Genomic DNA, 19,292 nt, shown 5'->3' with positions numbered 1-19,292 from the left:
CAAGGCGGGCGGATCACCTGAGGTCAGGAGTTCGAGACCAGCCTGGCCACCGTGGTGAGACCCCCATCTCTACTAAAAATACAAAAACTAGCCGGGTGTGCTGGTGTGCGTCTGTAGTCCCAGCTACTCAGGAGGCTGAGGTGGGAGGATGGCTTGAGCCCGGGAGGCGGAGGTTGCAGTGAGCCGAGGTCACGCCACTGCACTCTAGCCTGGGTGACAGAGCTAGAACTTGTATCAAAACAAAACAAAACAAAACAAAACAACAACAAACAGTTGAGAACAGACTCCACCTTGTAGGACAGTGGCATTTCTGAAAGTTCAGAACAATTCCCCGAGCAACTTTACCTCACAATCTCATTGGAACGGCTGCATCTGTGGGGCCCTGGGAGAGACTCAGCAGCAGACAGGGTCTCCAGAGCACACGACAAGAGGAAGAATGCATGAAGGTCCACCGGCAGTCGAATCAGCCAAAGCACAAGACAAACACAAGTAAGTGCTTACATTGTGTAGCTCGCACGAGAGCATGTGCTTTCCCAGGGTGGAAATGAGGGAGAAATCTTAAGACTGGTGAACCACTCACAGTAGAATGAAAAGTAAACACTGAGTCCTTGAGAAATTTCTGAATATCCATGAGGAAGTATTCCTCACTGGATCCACCTGACTGCGTTAGCGTTCCCTATTAGTGTCCCTTTAGCACTTGCAGGACTCTGTTCCTTACTTTTTTCACTCTATATAAAACATGATCTGCATTTTCTTCTTCTTTTTCTTTTCACCCAGGCTGGAGGGCAGTGGTGTGATCTTGGCTGACTGTGGCCTCAACCTCCGGGCTCAAGTGATCCTCCCACCTCAGCCTCCTGAGTAGATGGGACCTACAGGCGTGTGTCACCACATCTGGTGAATTTTTTTTTTTTTTTTTTTTTTTTTGCTTTTTGTAGAGATAGGGTCTCACTGTATTGCCCAGGCTGGTCTCAAACTCCTGAGCTCAAGCAATCCTCCTGCTCTTTCCTCCCAAAGTGCTGGGATTAGAGTGGTGAGATACTATACCCGGCCTGATCTACATTTTCTGGGAATGTTTTATCCTCTGCTATCTCGATCCCAGGTCCTTGATCTTGTGCCTGAAGTCATGGATGGACATCATGAGATTCAAGAATTCCCAGAAATTTAGTGTCACGTTGTGTAGGCATGTAAGTGATCCTCAGAGGAGCCCCTGACTCAAAAAATGTTGGAGCGCCACTAGTCTGTCTGGGTGCTATGCTTAGTCAAAAGAAAAATCTCATCTTTAATTTGCTTTGTACTAAGATTTAACATCCATTTGTTGAGAACTTACCAGGTACCATGCCTGGTGCTCTAATATATATTCTTTCATTTAATCTCCACCCAACCTAGATAGAGTTCATAATGTCACCTCCATTTTACTTCAGAGGCACTGTATTCACAATGGTGAAGTGACTTACTCAGGATGTCACCACTAATAAATGTCAGAGCTGTGTTGAGATTGGGCCTCTCTCTCCCCTGGATGCAAGGCCTGGACTTCCCCAAAACTTGGTACAAAGGGCAGGCATGGCCCAGGACTGTCAACATAGTCAGTGAAAAAAATCCACTGATTGACTGGCAGCGTGTGAAGGGGGTCATTGAAATATGGGTTATGGAATCCCATAAAAGGAGTCAATCTCTGTGGGCTTCCTGAAAACCTCAAACCCTGAAGGGCCAATCCTGCTCCCTCTCATATTCAAAGGATCCGTAATTGACCTGCAACTTAAAAAGACAGCTTGTCATATTATTCAGCCTTAAAAAAGGAAGGAAATTCTGACACATGCTACAACATGGATGAACCTTGAGGACATTGCACTAAGTGAAATAACCCGGTCACCGAAGGATAAATACCATGTGATTCCACCTATCTGAGGTACTTGGAGTAGTCAGACTCATAGAGACAGAAAGAAGAATGGTGGTCGCCAGGATCTGGGGACAGAGGGAGCTGGGGAGATACTGTTTAATGCATGCAGAGTTTCAGCTTTGCAAAATGAAGAGTTCTGGAGATTGGTTGCACAACAATGGGTGTGTACTAAATGCTACCAAACTGTGCTCATGAAAATAGTTAAGATGGTAAGTTTGATATGTATTTTGCCACCAAAAAAAATGAATATTTACAAAGACAGCTCATATGTTCACTTGCAGTAAAGTTCTATAGGCCCATCGTTCTGTTCTTGTTGATCATTCTCCCCTCCCCAAGTAGAAGAGTGGAAATCCAGACTGCCTGAGCAGAATGGGTGTGACTGCGAGGCACAGCCACACAGAGTGACACTGGTTCATACACAAGTGCCTGGGTGTCTGCTAACAGGCTTGAGGCTCTGCCCCAGAAATTAGCTTCCCAGTTGTCCTTTTCTTTAAGCCTGCAGTCTGTCTGAGCAGAATGAGCATAATAAATAAATAATTCTTCATAATAAATTCATCCATTAAATTTGGTTATCCCCCCCACCCCCCGCCATTTTCTTCTCCTTAACAACGTACAAAGCCGTGGCAGTGGCTTCCCCCCCGCCGACATGTGGGATGATCAGGCTCTGAAGAGCATCTACCAAGAAGACTGCCAGGTCCTTGCCCTTCCAACACCAATAACGCTGGCTCCTGGAACCTAGGAAGTCTCTCCAGAAGTCAATCCTACCCACTGGCAGGCCACGGCCCCTGGGAAATCTCCATTCGGAGAGGAGCAAGGTCATGAAAATTAATTGCTGATTCTCCGAATTTAAAGCCCGAGGTTACAAGAGCCCCGAGGGCAGGGCCACTCTGAATGAATTCACGGCTGCACTCAGGCAGCCTGGGAGCTTGGACACATGGCAGTGGTGAACTGGTGCTACTCCAACCCAAACAGATTTGTAACAGTGGCCCAGACATCCAGGACTGCCAGAGCAGCATTTGTGTCCGACAAATGAGGCCTCACTCGGGACAAAGGGGGCTCTTAGTACTCATTCTGCTTTGGCTGTTTCATACCCAGCAAGAGCCAGGGGACATCTTTTGTCAGGACAGGGAAAACAAAAACGATTCATTTCATCATGCACCATCACCACGTTCTTTGTGGTCAACCAATGCAGGGAGGCCTTGCAGCCAGCGATCCTTATGGCCACTGCTTACTGAGGGCCTACTAAGACCCAGGGACTATTCTAGGTACTGGGCATGTGTTGCCTGATTTAATCCTCCCAACAAAGCTATGCTGTAGGGTTTATCCCCCTGTAGTCATGTGGAAATTGAGACGCAAAGAGGTGAAGGTCACGCAGCTAGTGAACAGTGGCAGAGCCAGAATTGCTACCCAGGCCCGATTCACTCTCAGCTGACTGCTTTTCCTAATGTATACCTGCTACAGATGGCAGACAGGCCAAATGTGGACCTGTCCTCTGACCCTCCATCTCCAGGGAAGCCTAGAATGCCCCTGACTTTCAGCAAATACTTATGTCAAACGCAAACAGAAACAAAAAGATATGAGGGGATTGAGATTCAAATATATTTTCTTCTAAAAGCCACAGAAAATGCCCCTATAAAAAAAGAATGTTGAAAAAAATCAAGATAAAAAGAAATGAAGATCCCTGGGCATGGTGGCACATGCCTATAGTCCCAGCTACTCAGAAGTTTGAGGTAGGGGGATTGCTTGAGCCCAGGAGTTTGAGGCTGTAGTGAGCTATGATTGTGCCACTGCACCCCAGCGTGGGCTACAGAGTGAGACCCTGTCTCTACAAAATAGATTACTAAATAAAAATTAGCCAGGCATGGTGGCATACCCATAGTCACAGCTACTTGGGAGGCTCAAATGGGAGGATCACCCAAGCCCAGGAGTTTGAGTCTGCAGAGAGCTATGATGGCACCACTGCACTTCAGCCTGGGCAACAGAGCAAGACCTTGTCTAAAAAATAATAATAAAATGAAGAAGAAGAAAAAAAAAGAAATCGAGATCAACTTTTCTATCAGTAATTAAGCTATTGGTCTCTTATCTCTCCCTTATGAGGGTCAGAAGTTCCAGCTAACACATGTTCCTACCTGGTTATATTGCTGATCATTTCCAATCCCTGACCTTGGACTTCATGTGTGCTAACGTCCAATCACCTTTCACTGTCCAGATGCCCTGAATCAGCATGTGTGGCCTTAGGTAGGGAAGGGCCCCCGAGTAGCTGGCCTCTCTCTTTTATCATTTCACTATGGGTCCAGAAAATGAGACAATCTTCCATCCCAGTGGGTCAGCATGTTAAAATGCCGAATGAGAAGCTCTCTGGCGTGGTGAGTGTGAATCCAGAATTCCCCTTCCCAAGCCCATTTTATTCTCTGTTGTGTCCATTTATGCTGGGTGGGGTGTACTGCTCCTGTATCAGTCTGCTGACTTCCATGCACTGATGTCTCCCATCTCAACAACCACTGGTGTCACATTTTCCACTGACATTTTAGGAAGAATCCAAACACTGGTTTGGGGCATCAGGTTTTGGGATGTTCCAGGTGTCAAATTCCTACTTTTGTCTAAGAGGTGATGGGTGACTATCCTATCAGTTCTAAGTTGCAGGGGACAATTTCAGAGCAATATCAATAACCAAAGCCTGAAGGGTCAAAAGTTTGAGAAAGGAATGGAGGAAAAGAAGGAGCTAGGAAGAGAGAGAAGGGGGAGCAGAATCACCTCAGAGCTAAAGGAAAATTAATAGCCCATCCATCAATCCATTTTTCCCCCAAAATACTTATCGAGTACCTACTTGTGATGGTTAATATTGAGTGTCAATTTGATTGGATTGAAGGATGCAAAGTAGTGTTCCTGGGTGTGTCTGTGAGGGTGTTGGGTGTGTCTGTGAGGGTGTTGCCAAAGGAGATTAACATTTTTTTTTTTCTTCTGCGACAGAGTCTTGCTCTGTCGCCCAGGCTGGAGTGCAGTGGTGCGACCTTGGCTCACTGGTTTGGGGCATGTTCCTGGGTGTGTCTGTGAGGAGCAAGAAAGCCAGTTCAAGTCCCAAAACCTCAAAAGTAGGGAAGCCGACAGGGCAGCCTTAAGTCTGTGGCTGAAGGCCTGAGAGACCCTGGCAAATCACTGATATAAGTCCAAAAGCTGAAGAACTTGGAATCTGATGTTGGAATCTGATCTTGGCCCATCCTTGAAGAATCTGGGGGTAATAAATACCCTGAACATTGATGAACCCAAAGGGAAGCCAGAAGGTAAGAGTCCAAAGATGCAGCTCTTAGAGATTAAGAACTGAGGCATGGAGCAGGGTGGAGAAAAATGGAGAATGGAATGGATCAGGAGGAAGGGGAGGCTGTGGTTTGAATGTGTCTTCCAAAATTTGTGTATTGAAAACTTAATCCTCAGTGCAACAATGTCGAGAGGTAGGACATTTAAGATGATTAGGTCATGAGAGCTCAGTCCTTGTGAATGGATTAATGCTGTCATCTTCAGAGTGGGCTTGTTGTTTCAAGAGTGGTTTTGTTATAAAAGCAAGGTCAGCCCTCTCTTGCTCTTTCTGTCACTCCTGCTCTCTTTCCTTTCCACATTTCACGATGAGATAAGGCAGCAAAAAGGCCCTTGCCAGACGCAGGCACCTCAACCTTGGACCTCCCAACCTCCAGAACTGTAAGAAGCAAATCTCTGTTTATTTTTATTTTTATTATTTATTTTTTTGAGGCGGAGCCTCACTCTGTCACCCAGGCTGGAGGGTGATGGCATGATCTTGGCTCACTGCAACCTCCGCCTCCCAGGTTCAAGTGATTCTCCTGCCTCAGCCTCCCGAGTAGCTGGGACTACAGGCGCACGCCACCACGACCAGGTAATTTTTGAAATTTTTATTAGAGACGGGATTTTGCCATGTTGGCCATGCTGTCACGAACTCTTGACCTCAGGTGATCTACCTGCCTCAGCCTCCCAAAGTGCTGGGATTACAGGCGTGAGCCACCCACCTGGCCAAATCTGGTGTTTTTTTTTTTTTTTTTAAATTACTTAGTCTCGGGTACTCTGTTATAGCTGCACAAAATGGACTAAGATGGATTTGCAAACATCCAGCATATGTGGCAAACAAGATAGAATTTGTTCAGGGTCAAGAGATACACACAGGAACCTGGGTCCAAGCCCATCGATATATTAAGTCAAGGAACATTTTGGTTTTTACCAACAAAGTAGGTGAGGAGGTCTTCTAGTAGAACTTCTCTGAAGTTCTCCCGGAATAGGTAGGATCAATGACTGAATCTCTGGTGACCTAAGGATACCCGGTTCATTTGACCCTCCCTGTGTGGGGGCCCTCCCAGGGCTGGGCCTGACAGCATCTACTTCTGCCTTTTGACCTTGGCTCTGGCTGGTCTGCATCAGTGGCCTTCCCTGAACTGAAGTTCGCAATAATCACCATCCCCTCAACACGGTAAGAAAGACAATAGAGAGAAATTCTTTTCATGAATAAGAAAGCAACTACTTGCAAACTCTCATGGGGATTTACTATAAACAATGGAAAGCTAATTTCAAAAACACACTTATTTATTCATTAAAGCAGATTCCTCAAGGATTCTCCCCCAGGCAGCACTTTGTTGGCCTACTTTATATTTCATGTACACTTGGGAGTAATAAAATTGCAACTTTAAAGACATCCTGTAAGTCCGTTTTTTTCCTTTTTTTTCTTTTATGACATTCTTTGCAATCAGTCTAATTAGCTGAGAGATCCTTGAATATCTCTGTAAGATGGGAAACTGTAAGTCTGGGGACCACAGGCTAGGAGTTGAGCCTTATTAAGGAATACTCTGCCTCTCAATTTCTTCCTGCAATGGTAAGTGTCCCCTTTGGGAAGTGCAGACAGGGTGAGAAAGGTTAGAGGACAAGAACATTTGCAAGGTTGAATCATCTGCTACTTAATGGAAGGGGAAACAGGATGAAATACTGGAAAGAGCATTGGCTTTGGAGCTAGCCATGGGCTGGACTCTCACTTCCATCATTTATGCTGGGCAGTTATTGAACATCTCTTTGTCTCCATTTGGCTTATCTCTAAAAGGGGGAGAGTAATGAGTATGTCCTAGGACTGTCTAAGGACTAAATGGGATGAGGAATGTGTAATATAGAGTCTGGTGTCCTCAAAAATGATCAGTTCATTTTCCTCCCCAAAAGTCAGGGGCTCAGCGTCCTGGGAAAGCATGAGCAATATGGAGAGGCCTCTGGTTTGGAAAGATGACTAGCACTTGTGTTAGTTTCCTGGGGCTTCTGTAACAAAGTGTCACACACTGAGTGGCTTAAAAAGGGAAATTTGTTGTCTCACGGTTCTGGAAACTAGAAGTTGGAAATTAAGGTTTCAGCAGGGTTGGTTTCTTGTGAGGCCTGTTGGGGGGAATGGGCCCCATACCTCTCCCCACTTCCGTGGGCTCAACTGTTCCTTGGTTTGTAGATGGCGTTCTCTCTGTGTCTTTTCATGGTCTTCCCACTGTGCATGCAGGTTTCTGTTGTCTAAATTTCATTTTTTATGAGAACACCAGTCATAGTGGATTAAGGTCCACTCTAATGACCTCATCTTAACCTGCTCATCTGCAGAGATCCTATTTCTAAACAAGGTCATGTCACAGGTACTGGAGATTAGGACTTCAGCGTCTTTTGGGGGAATCCACTTCAATCTATAACTGGAGTCAACAGCCTTTCTCCTACTAGGGAAGGAAAAACCACATGTTTCTTCCTGCACATTTATGTGACTCATTTTAAACAACTTCCCTGGTCTGGGGCCCTCTTGGCCAGAACCCAGCATTGCATTCTGGTCAGGAGGATACAATTATGAATATAAGGGTTAGGGCAGGTTGTGAAAGGGTTATATTAGGCAAAGGAAGCAACATGTGTGCTTCCCAGTAGGTGGTAGGAGAAACGCTATGTTGCTGTGGCCAAGAAAATTATGTGGAGGTGTCCTCACGTACAAATTAAGTATTTTAACGGTACCCACCTTATAGGGTTATTGGAGAACTAAAGAAGTTATGAAAAGTGCTTAGTCTAATGCCCAACCCAGGGTCAATATTTAACAATGTTACATAATTATTTTCTTGCAAATAGCTTATTAATGGCTAGTCAGTAAATATGTACAATAATAATTATAGCAGATATGATTAGCAATTTTATAAGCAAGGCATTGTATACTTGCTCCATAGTATCTAATTAAATCTCTACAACCACTGCAGTGAAGTAGACATGATTATTTCTCTTTTATAGCTGTGGAAACTGAGGCTTAGAAAGACCGAGTGATTTGTATCTGGAGCTCCCCTTGTCATTGATGTGGAGATTTAAATTCAGAACTCATTTGCTCTATGTTGGGTCACTGTGTAACACTGCCTCTTTCCATTGCAAGATAATTTAAATTCCAACTTGATATTACAGAAAAGAGATTTGCACCAGACTCTCCAACTGGATGCAAATGATTATCGATGCTGAGATATTAATCCTTTCGATCCTTGGAGGGACTTGGTGTTGGGAGCAGCCAGAACCCTGGGGCTCACTTCCCATGTGTATCCTCATGAGAAAAATTGAGAATCCCCATTCCAGTCACTGGGAGGAGGTCACCAGGGGCTGAAGTGGTCGAGGGAAGCTGCAGAGAGGACTTGAGTTGGAGTTTGTAGGTTGTGCGTGAGATTTGGGTGACTGGAGAGGTGAGTCAGTGGAAGACAAGGCCATAGCAATGGCGTCCAGGTGGAGCTCACATAACATGCCTGGGTAATTAAACTGCTTGGAGTACCAGAGAGATGCCTATGAAGAGATTAAGAGGGAAATGAGGTGGCTGGGCATAATCAGGGTTTGATCAGAGAAGCGGAACCATTAAGAGTGGTTTATTCCACGGGTTAGCCCTGATGCAGTCGTGGGTGCTGGTGGAGGAATCTATGCAGGGCTGTTGCTTCTTGAATCTGATGTTGGACCTGCTGTCTCCATAGGTCAGATGTCAGCTGTCGGGAAGAAAGGCTGGATAGGAAATAGGAAAAAGCAGGGCAAACAAGGAGCTTCAAGGACTGAAACCCTTAAGAACCACTTGACTCTGTCTCTCACCACCTCCAGCCTTGATGACACGGTGACATATAGAAGAACTGATGCCCTTTGCTTTGAGCTGCACAAAAACCTGGCGCTGGACTTGGAGAAGCTGAAAGACAGGACCCGGCAGGAGCCTGAGGAGCTGCAGGCTGCTAGCCTGTAGACCACCGTGCTGTGTTAGCCACTGCAGCTGGGACCATTCTGACACTCAGAGCCTGGAAATGGCTGCTCCCTCCTGCCTGCTATCCAAGTATCCTGTGGATACTTGGCTTTTCTCTTGTGGGCAACACTAACCTGAAACTCTTTGGGGAAGGGAATTGAGGAAATGTAGTTCCAAGATTAGCCAATTTAACTCAGCATAAACCCATCACAGGGTTTGACTACAGAGTTATAACGTTATTCTGTAGGCAATGAAAACAGAAGTTTTTGAAAAAGGCATCAATTTGATGAAATTGATATTTTGGGGAAGATTAATCTTCTGCTGAGTAAAATATAACAGGTTGGAGGAAGATGAAAATGGAGAGAGTAGAGTGTAATTAAAAGTTTGTTGGAGGCCGGGCACGGGATTACGGCTCACTCCTGTAATCCCAGCACTTTGGGAGGCTGAGGTGGGCGGATCACCTGAGGTCAGGAGCTTGAGATCATCCCGGCCAACATAGTGAAACCCTGTCTCTAATAAAAATACGAAAAATTAGCTGGGCATGGTGGCGCACACCTGTAATCTCAGCTACTCGGGAGGCTGAGGCAGGAGAATCCCTTGAACCCAGGAGGCAGAGGTTGCAATGAGCCAAGATGGTGTGATTGCACTCCAGCCCAGGGGACAATGTGAGACTCTGTCTCAAAAAAAAAAAAAAATTTGTTGTAGTAGTCCAGGTGTCCGGGTGTTGTTACCAGGGCACCCATGATGAAATAACTGGGAGAGTCCTTTTTTCTGACTGGTTTTCTTCAGTCCCTTTATCTACAGGCACAACTGCTGAAGAAACCAGATGGCCTGGGATGGCACCAGAGCTTTTTTACCCTTGACCAGATACTAGAGGGAATTAAGACCCCACAAGTGGGCACGAACTGGAACTGGCGACCCCTAGTTGCCTTCAGATCATTAACACATCATTATAATGCTAAAATTCCCTGCCATTTTGTGAACATGGGTTGCATGAAGACGTAAGTTTATGAATTGCCTCTGCACACCTAGAGTCCCACCCTGTACAGGCTAACATTCCTCCCTACATGCACCCCCCCACAAACACACCCTGCCTCCCCCAGTCCTTAGAAACCCTATGCCTGGCCGGGCGCAGTGGCTCACGCCTGTAATCCCAGCACTTTGGGAGGCTGAGGCGGGCGGATCACTAGGTCAGGAGATCGAGACCATCCTGGCTAACACGGTGAAACCCTGTCTTTACTAAAAATCCAAAAAAAAAATTAGCCGGCGTGGTGGCGGGCGCCTGTAGTGCCAGCTATGCGGGAGGCTGAGGCAGGAGAATGGCGTGAACCCGGGAGGCGGAGTTGGCAGTAAGCCGAGATCGCGCCACTGCACTCCAGCCTGGGCGACAGACCAAGACTCCGCCTCAAAAAAAAAAAAAAAAAAAAAAAAGAAAGAAAGAAAGAAAGAAAAAAGAAACCCCATGCCTTCTACTGTTCGGGGAGAAGGTGCGTTTAGAGTGAGAGTTCGCGTTCTGCCTTCTCTGGCTAGTGAATAAAATCCGACTGCTTTTTACAATTAATGTTCTTTCTTTGCTACCAATACAAAGTAGGGAAAAAAACTCAGTTTACCAGTGACAATAGGAGACTATAAAGATCTGAACAGGAAAACATGGAAATTAGGTGTCAGATTTTAGAAACATTCTAAAGGAAGAATTGATAGAACTTGCTAAGCGGCTGAATTGGAGAATGAGGGCAATAATAGAATCCAAAATGCAGCCCGGAGCGGTGGCTCAGGCCTGTAATCCCAGCACTCTGGGAGGCCGAGGCAGGCGGATCATCTGAGGTCAGGAGTTTGAGACCAGCCTGGCCAACATGGTAGAAACCCCGTCTCTACTTAAAAAATGCAAAAATTAGTTGGGTGCGGTGGCAGGCGCCTATAATCCCGGCTACTGGGAGGCTGAGGCTGGAGAAATCGCTTGAACCCGGGAGATGGAGGTTGCAGTGAGCCGAGATTGCACCACTGCACTCCAGCCTGGGCGACAGAGCGAGACTCCATCTCAAAAAAAAAAAAAAAAAAAAAAGTGCTTCTGAGATTTTTGAAATTTATTTCACAAGGGTTGTTCTTTTGTATGTACCACACCAGGTGCATAACCAATGTACACTAAGTACTTTTCAGGAGGCTAATTGATTAAGGGACTCTTTCTAGCCCAGATGATGAGAAATGTGGCCCGTGAAAGGAAATTACTTGATTAAAAGCCATTCTATTCTAATAGACTAGCCATTCTACTCTATTGAAACGCAATACAGTATTCAGAGAATTTTAAGTTTGTAACAGTTGAACAGTTTAAAATTGCAGCGCAGCAAAGCGGATGACTGTCTTGGAGTATTGATAAAGGAGGAGGAGGAAATTTCGTTGAGTTGTTAGTGAACTTAAAAACAAAAAAAGAAAAAAAAAAGGGTTGTTAGTGAACTTGTTTCTGAGGACTCTTGTCTGTAGAAGGTGGTTGAGTCTAGACGTCTCCTGCAGAAAGATGGCCTTTCCTCCAGGTTTTATGCTTTAAAGGTAAAGGAAGGAAGATACATTTATGGAAACTCTTCTTTTCTTAATTTTAGATCACAATTATTAATCTTTGTTTCTTAGATTCTTTTGAGTTTCAGGAAAGTTGTAAAGTTTCTCAAGTGTTTTGCAAATTTGTTGGTGTTTTGTGAAGTGTTAAACAAAATTTATAGGAGACCATTGATTTGGACTTAGCTCCTGCATTACACCCCAACAGACCAAACCAAAATGGAGTCACTGATGCTAAATTTCCACTTCACCAAGCTGAAAGTAAATTGTTTTAAGTGACCTTCTGAGAAATCAGGTGGGAGAGAGAATAGCCAAGTCTCCAAACAGGCCAGTTTTGGCCAGATGATAAGGAAGTCTTTTCCGCTTTAATACTTCCAAGGAAAGTAACCTGATGTTAACCAATTCATTTCCTGTATTATGCTGTTTCCTTGTTCCTGCTCAGCTGCTTTATAAAAGCTAGTTAATCTGCCATGCCTGGCATAGCACCTCTTTATTTTTAGACGAGATGCTGCCTGATTCATGAATCGCAAGTAAAAGTCAATTAGATTATTTAACTAAATTTGTTGAAATGTCTTTTGAGAAGACATGAATTTTTTTGGTGGGGAGGGTGCAGGAGGGATGTAGCTTTTATTAGATTTTTAAAGGCATCTTGTTTTCAAACAGGTGAAGAATCTTTCCCATACAGTGAGACCACTGAGTGTGGCTACTCACTCAAGCCTTACTCAGCTTCATTTCACTTCCAAGTTTTGATCCAGGAACTGGGACCTGTGAGCATAGAGGGAGAGAAAGCCCAGAAAGTACAGGAATTAATGGAAACAAACTCCAGACAGAGCAAGGGGCCAGCTTCTGACAGCTTCCTCCTTTTTCTGTCCTGCTAAGTGAACATAGTATGCCAAGGAGAAGTGGAGAGGCTGAAAGGCCTGTTTATTTCACAAGGGTTGTTCTTTTGTATGTACCACACCAGGTGCATAACCAATGTATACTAAGTACTTTTCAGGAGGCTAATTGATGAAGGGACTCTTTCCAAAGTTTCTGCTTGGGTCTCAAACACTAAGTCATCCAAAAGCAAGCCAAATGCCCTTTCTCAGATGTTGCTTCCTGCTTCTGATTATAATCCCCTGTGCCAAGCTTACTAATTGGCGTGTTTGCCTTGAGTTCCTTTTATTCTAAGCACTGACCACATGAAAAGCAGGTCAGTTCTAACAGGACTGCAGTGCATAATTGCTACTTTGGCTTCCCAGTATCTGAATCCACTTCCTGGTTGTGGAGAATCCTCCATTCTTATAAGTCGGAAACAGGCCTTTACCTTCCACTAAATAAGACAGAATGGAAAGACGATGTTTCCTCTCCCATCCCTCTGGCATCAGGATAAAGGCACACGACCTGTCTGGGCCAATCAGACACTCCCACCAGGTACTTTGACCCTTGAGGGACACAGAGGCAGACAAATGATCAGATTTGATTCACAGCCATGGCATGGATTTAGCAATGACAGCTGTGTGGCTTTAGTGTCCAGTGGTGGGGCCGTGTGTAAGTTGGTGGTGGTAGAGCTCTGGCAAGCTAGTTTCTACAGGCTAGCTTCCCTGGATACCTGCTACTTTAAAATCATGTTTCGCCAGCCCTTCTATCCATGTTGCCAGCAACCTGATATCCTTCCAACAGATACCTTTTTACATAAATCAACCTGATTTGGTTTCTGTTGCTTGCAAACCCTGAACAATATAGGAAAAGAAAAAAGATAGTCTCCCAAGCCCTTTGAATAATCTTTACCATGAAGCATGGGTAGAAATGGAGGTGCCAGCCCTTGAAATGACTCCTGTAATGGTTAATTTTATGCATCAATGACTGGGCCACAGAATGCCCAAATATTTGGTCTAATATTATTCTGGGTGTTTCTGTGAGGGTGTTTTTTGATATGACTAATGTTTAAAGTAGATTGTCCTCTGTCTTAGTATGGCCAAGCTGTTATAGCAAAGCACAATAGACTGGGTGGCTTATAAACAGCAGAAACTGGTTAGGCATGGTGGCTCATTCCTGCAATCCCAGCACTTTGGGAGGCCAAGGTGGGTGGATCACCTGAGGTCAGGAGTTCAAGACCAGCCTGGCCAACATGGTGAAACCCCGTCTATACTAAAAATGCAAAAAATTAGCCAGGCGTGGTGGCAGGCACCTGTAACCCCAGCTACTTGGGAGGCTGAGGCAGGAGAATTGCTTGAACCCAGGAGGCAGAGGTTGCAGTGAACTGAGATTGTGCCAGTGCACTCCAGCCTGGGCAACAAGAGCACAACTCCATCTCAAACAAAAACAAAACCAGCAGAAACTTATTTCTCACAGTTCTGGAAGCTGGAAGTCTGACATCAGGGTGCTGGTATGGTCAGGTTCTGGGGTTGCAGTACCTCTTCTGGGTTATAGACTGCCAACTTCTTGTATCCCCACATGGTGGAAAGAGAGAGAGTGCTCTGGGGTCTCTTTTATAAGGGCACTAATCCCACTCATGAGAGTGCCACCCTCATGACTTAATCACCTCCTAAAGGCCTCCCTCCCTCCTGATACCATCATCCTGGGGGTAAGGATTTCAAAATATGAATTTTGGGAGGACACAAACATTGAGTCCATAACACTTTCCCAAATGTGGATGGGCATTATCCAATCAGTTGCAGGCCTGGTTAGAACAAAAAGGCTGACCTTTCCACAGATAAGAGGGAATTCCTTCTGCCTGGCTGCCTTTGGCCTGGGACAGCTTTTTTTCTGCCTTTCGACTCAAACTACACCATCAGCTTTCCTGGTTCCCAGGCCTTCAGATTCTGCTGGAACCAAACCATTGTCTCTCCTGGGTCTCCAGATTGCTGACTCACCCTGCAGATCTTGGGATTTGCCAGCCTTCATAATCATGTGAGTCAATTCCTTATAATAAATCTCTTTATATATCTCTATATATCTCTTTCTACATCTCTATATATCGCTATCTATATATATTATCTTCTATTGGCTCTGTTTCTCTGAAGAACTCTGACTACTACAACTCTCCATTGGACTGCTTTGTGAAGCTGTCTATCTGGCTGTTAGGAAGGCCTAACAGTCTAATGTAGGGGGATCTCCTGGTGGGTAGGGTGCAACATTTCAGACTGAAGTCTCCCCTACAAAAAGGCATGAGCCACTTGGGAAAAAGGTAGAGTTGCTGTCCTGACCTTCTGGCTAAGTGCTCCCACTCTCTCTTCTCTTCTCTCTCTCTTTGGTGATAATGTTGATAGAAGATCTTTGTGCAGACAGTTTTCTTAGAATTTGGGCTGTTTGACAAGAAGTGTTTTCTCCTTTGGGCCTAAAAGTATTGTATATATTTCTGTCTCTTCTTTTTGAAATGAATCTTTTAATGCTTTGAAAAAATGCCAACAAAACAAACAAAAAAATGACAAATACTTATTGTTAAAAGAAAAATTCAGAGACTATCACAAAGAAAGTAAAAATCACCTGAATATTTTAATTACATATTTCTTTCTAGACACATTATCATTCATTCATTCAATACATTCATTCAACCGTGAAGGCTTACTATAGCCCAGAGGATTGATTTTCAACAAAACACACATGATCTTGGCCTTGCCCTATGGAGCTTATGGTTTATTGGCGAAGACTGACAGTCATCAACAGGTGCCACATGGCCATGTCTCCCACATGGGTGGACAAGTACACAGGACTCAGGTCTTACAGCTTCTAAAATGAATTTCTTGTTTATAACGCTGCAAAGTCATCTTCCTTCTCAAATATTTATTAGGTCCCACATCACCAGGCAGCAGACTAAGATTAGTATTTTCTCTTATCTTCTCCTAGATTATTTTTTAATTGCAAAACTATGCGAGATGGTGAGAAAAATAATAAAAGCTATCCAAGCCATCTCTGTTACCTTAGTGAGTTGAATTATCTGACTCTCAGCAATGTGAATCTGCACACCTATATTTTGTTTCACCCAATTCCCTCTGCAGATCCTACACTTGTCCTTAGTTTTGTTTTCTCTTCTTTGTTTGTTCCTTTGATGAGATGGAACAATCTAGCCATTTCAATATTGAGTAATGTGATCTGGGCCCCTGGACAACTGTTCCTAGGCACCGCCCTGAGAGGGTGAGCTGTCTGTGAAGGTCCTCTGGCCATGTCCTGAGCTTCTTCACTTTTAACAAATGCCTACTGATATGGTTTGGCTATGTCCCCACCCAAATCTTATCTCAAATTGTAATCCTAATAATCCCCATATGTGAGGGAGGATCCTGGTGGGAGGTGATTGGATCATGTGGATGGTTTCCCCCATGCCGTTCTTGTGGTAGTGAGTGAGTTCTCATGAGATTTGATGGTTTTATAAGCATCTGGCATTTCCGCTGCTTACACAGTCTCTCTCTCTCTCGCCTGCCACCATGTAAGATGTGCCTGCTTCCCCTTCCACCATGATTGTAACTTTCCTGAGGCCTCCCCAGCCATGTGGAACTGTGAATCAATTAAACCTCTTTTCTTTATAAATTACCCAGTCTTGGGTATTTCTCTTTTTTTTTTTTTTTTTTTTTTTTGAGACAGAATCTCACTCTGTCACCCAGGCTGGAGTGCAGAGGTGCCATCTCAGCTCACTGCAACCTCTGCCTCCTGGGTTCAAGCAATTCCTCTGCCTCAGCTACCTGAGTAGCTGGGACTACAGGTGTGTGACACCATACCCAGCTAATTTTTGTGTTTTAAGTAAAGATGGGCTTTCATCATGTTGGCCAGGCTGGTCTTGAACTCCTGGCCTCAAGTGATCCACTCGCCTTGACCTCCCAAAGTGCTGGGATTACAGGTGTGAGCCACTATGCCTGGCCGGGCATTTCTTTTAAGCAGTGTGAAAATGGATTAGTACACCTACCAACAACTGTAATTATTTCATATAGGCCTCAGTATCTAGCCTAAAGCCCCACACCCAGATGTCCTTTTTGAAAGAAACCATATAGAGTGAATAGGGCCATACAAATTAAGAGGGAGGTCACTGGGGCAAATAAAAGCATATTTAAATAGGAAAATGGAGTCTCATATAGACATAATCCCAATCCTAAATATTTTGAACATAGCAAGACAGTAAATCATTATTTTTTGGTCAAACAATTAAACCTTATGACAGGTTACATTCTTAAAACAGAAGTCCCACTATTATAATTTGTGCTCATGAAATAATCTAGAAAGAGACTACTGTCAAAAAGAATGTGTATGGAACCAGAAATTGGGAAATCTAGATTCCACTGCCAGTCTACTTTTCAATAATTTATTTCATGCATATAACCAAGTCCTTAATCCAAGTTATCCACATTTTTGGTAACTCTTTGTCTTGCTTTGTTTTGTTTTTACTTCTAGAATGGGAGCAATGACACTATGTTACCGTTATCAGAGGTAGGATAATATATAGAAATTTGGAAATATCACTTATGATAGTGCTTGAGAAGTAAAAATTCCTAAACCAAATCGCACTATTTGCTATCAACATTCTAGACAGTTAGCAAAACCTAGCACTTATCTAGCATATAACAGAGAATTCAAAATTGTATTCTGCAAGTGTTCAAACTTGTTTTTGGATCCTTTATGGAAAAGACCAACTTCTTAGAGAGGCCAAGTATTTACTTGAACTTTAAAGAGGTTCATTGTGTCTAAGTGTTTGCTTTTCTGGGAGAAGTAAGGAATTTAGGCTACAAATAAAAATATTTTTTAAAATCAGCATGGACTTTAGCATTAGAGAAGACTGGCATTGGAGAATGGGTCAAAATTCAATTCCACTATCTTATTCGTTTGTATTACATTGGGTAAGTTATTATTTAATTTCTCTGAGCCCCAGTCTCTTCACATGTAATGAGAATAAAAGTAGCCTCCTTATAGATGGCAGGAAGGATTTGCTGACGTCATGTTTATAAATGCCTGGTAGGTTTCCTGGCACATACTGGTGTGCAATGTCTGTTGGTTCCCTTTTCTTTTCGTGCATGAGGAGTTTTATTTGTTTTGTTTTGCTTTTTGTTTTTTTTGTTTTGTTTTGTTTTGTTTTTCAAGATGGAGTCTCTCTCTGTCGCCCAGGCTGGGGTGCAGTGGCGCGATCTCGGCTCACTGCAACCTCCACCTCCTGGGTTCAAGCAATTATCCTGCCTCAGCCTCCTCAGTAGCTGGGACTACAGGTATGTGCCACCATGCCCGGCTAATTTTTTGTATTTTTAGTGGAGACAGGGTTTCACCATGCTGGCCAGGCTGGTCTCGAACTCCTGACCTCATGATCCACCCGCCTTGGCCTCCCAAAGTGCTGGGATTATAGGCGTGAGCCTATATGAGGCCTGGCCTGTATGAGGAGTTTTTAAACAACACTAGAGACTTAACCAAGGATAATAGGAGAAATATTGGTCTATGGGTAGAATTAGGTGCTGTCTTAGTTCATTTGTGCTGCTATAACAGAATACCCGAGACTGGGTAATTTAAAAAGAACAGAGATTTATTTCTCACAGTTCTAGAGGCTAAGAAGTCCAAGATCAAGGCGCTGTCAGGTTAAGTTGTCTGGTGAGGGTCCAATCTCTGCTTCTAAGATGGTGCCTTGAAAGCTGCATCCTCCAGAGGAGAAGAATGCTGTGTCCTCACATGGCAGAAGGCAGCAGGGCAAAGAGGTAGCTTCCAACTGTTACAGGGACTCCATCAAGTCCTTTTATAAAGGATTAATCCCTAATCCCATTCATGACCCACATCCTCCAATACTCTTGCATTAAAAATTAAGTTTTAACATGAATTTTAGAGGAGACAAAAACATTTAAACCATAGCAGATGCCAGATACAGATATAAGTCTGTAACTTGAAAAAATGTGATATCAATGAAAGGACTAATCATGCAACACAAATAGCTAATATTGCTAATAAAGTAACATAATTAGCTAATATTAGATAATATTGACCAACAAAGAGGAAAATTTAAATTACATTTCAGAAGTTTATAAAAATGAAAAATTTTTACAAAAAAGCTAACTTTTAATACTGAGGACTAACAGAAGCTATATATATATATATATGTTTAGTTTCTTCACTCTAGGCTTCATTGAACTGACTGAATAACCAAACGAAGTTCTTCACTTTTCTTAACTTAGCCTCCAGAGGGGAGAATAAGGGGTTCATTCTATTTTGCTGGGCAGTCGATGCCCTGTGTTTGGGGATTCTTGGACAGGAGACTGGTACATCTGAAATATTGCTGTTGACAGAAGTAAATCAAACATTAAAACCTTCAATGCTCTGCTCATCACTTCATTTTTTTAAAAGTGGCATAGGGCATTTCTGGTGAAATGTAACACATAATTCACTGTAAATATCTTGAAAATTATTTTCATAAGATAAAATATTATTTCATTGTGACTGCCACTCTTATTTTAACATTTTACTTGGAAGACAACCCTCAAATCTACCAACCAAAAAATAAATGAATTGGTCTCTCTTTGGATAGATAAAAAATAGAAGAATTAAAGGCTAAAAAAATGACCCAGGGGAAAAAACTACCTATTTCCCTCCTAAATCTTAAACTCCCCAAGCTATGAACAGCAAAGATTAGCAGTGAGCAGGGAGGCATGGCTAGGGCTG

General features: G+C 43.6%; 1 long non-coding RNA gene across 1 annotated transcript, besides 1 other annotated feature; it reads left to right on the top strand.

Annotated features, from left to right (window-relative positions):
* Positions 1-267: 267 nt before the first annotated feature.
* On the top strand, positions 268-10,394 carry LINC00330 (long intergenic non-protein coding RNA 330). Its single transcript, NR_038433.3, has 3 exons — positions 268-489; positions 4,868-5,178; positions 8,893-10,394. It is a non-coding gene; the product is annotated as a long intergenic non-protein coding RNA 330 (long non-coding RNA).
* Positions 9,870-10,369: an enhancer, noted in NCBI's record as "H3K4me1 hESC enhancer chr13:45373665-45374164 (GRCh37/hg19 assembly coordinates)". NCBI's record gives its function as "activates a minimal SCP1, AML or CMV promoter by ChIP-STARR-seq in primed H9 embryonic stem cells {active_cell/tissue: H9 hESC(primed)}" and the evidence as "EXISTENCE:reporter gene assay evidence [ECO:0000049][PMID:30033119]".

The sequence above is a fragment of the Homo sapiens genome, chromosome 13 (genome assembly GCF_000001405.40).
Source record: "Homo sapiens chromosome 13, GRCh38.p14 Primary Assembly".
NCBI lineage: Eukaryota > Metazoa > Chordata > Mammalia > Primates > Hominidae > Homo > Homo sapiens.
This window is presented reverse-complemented; position numbering and strand designations above follow the sequence as displayed.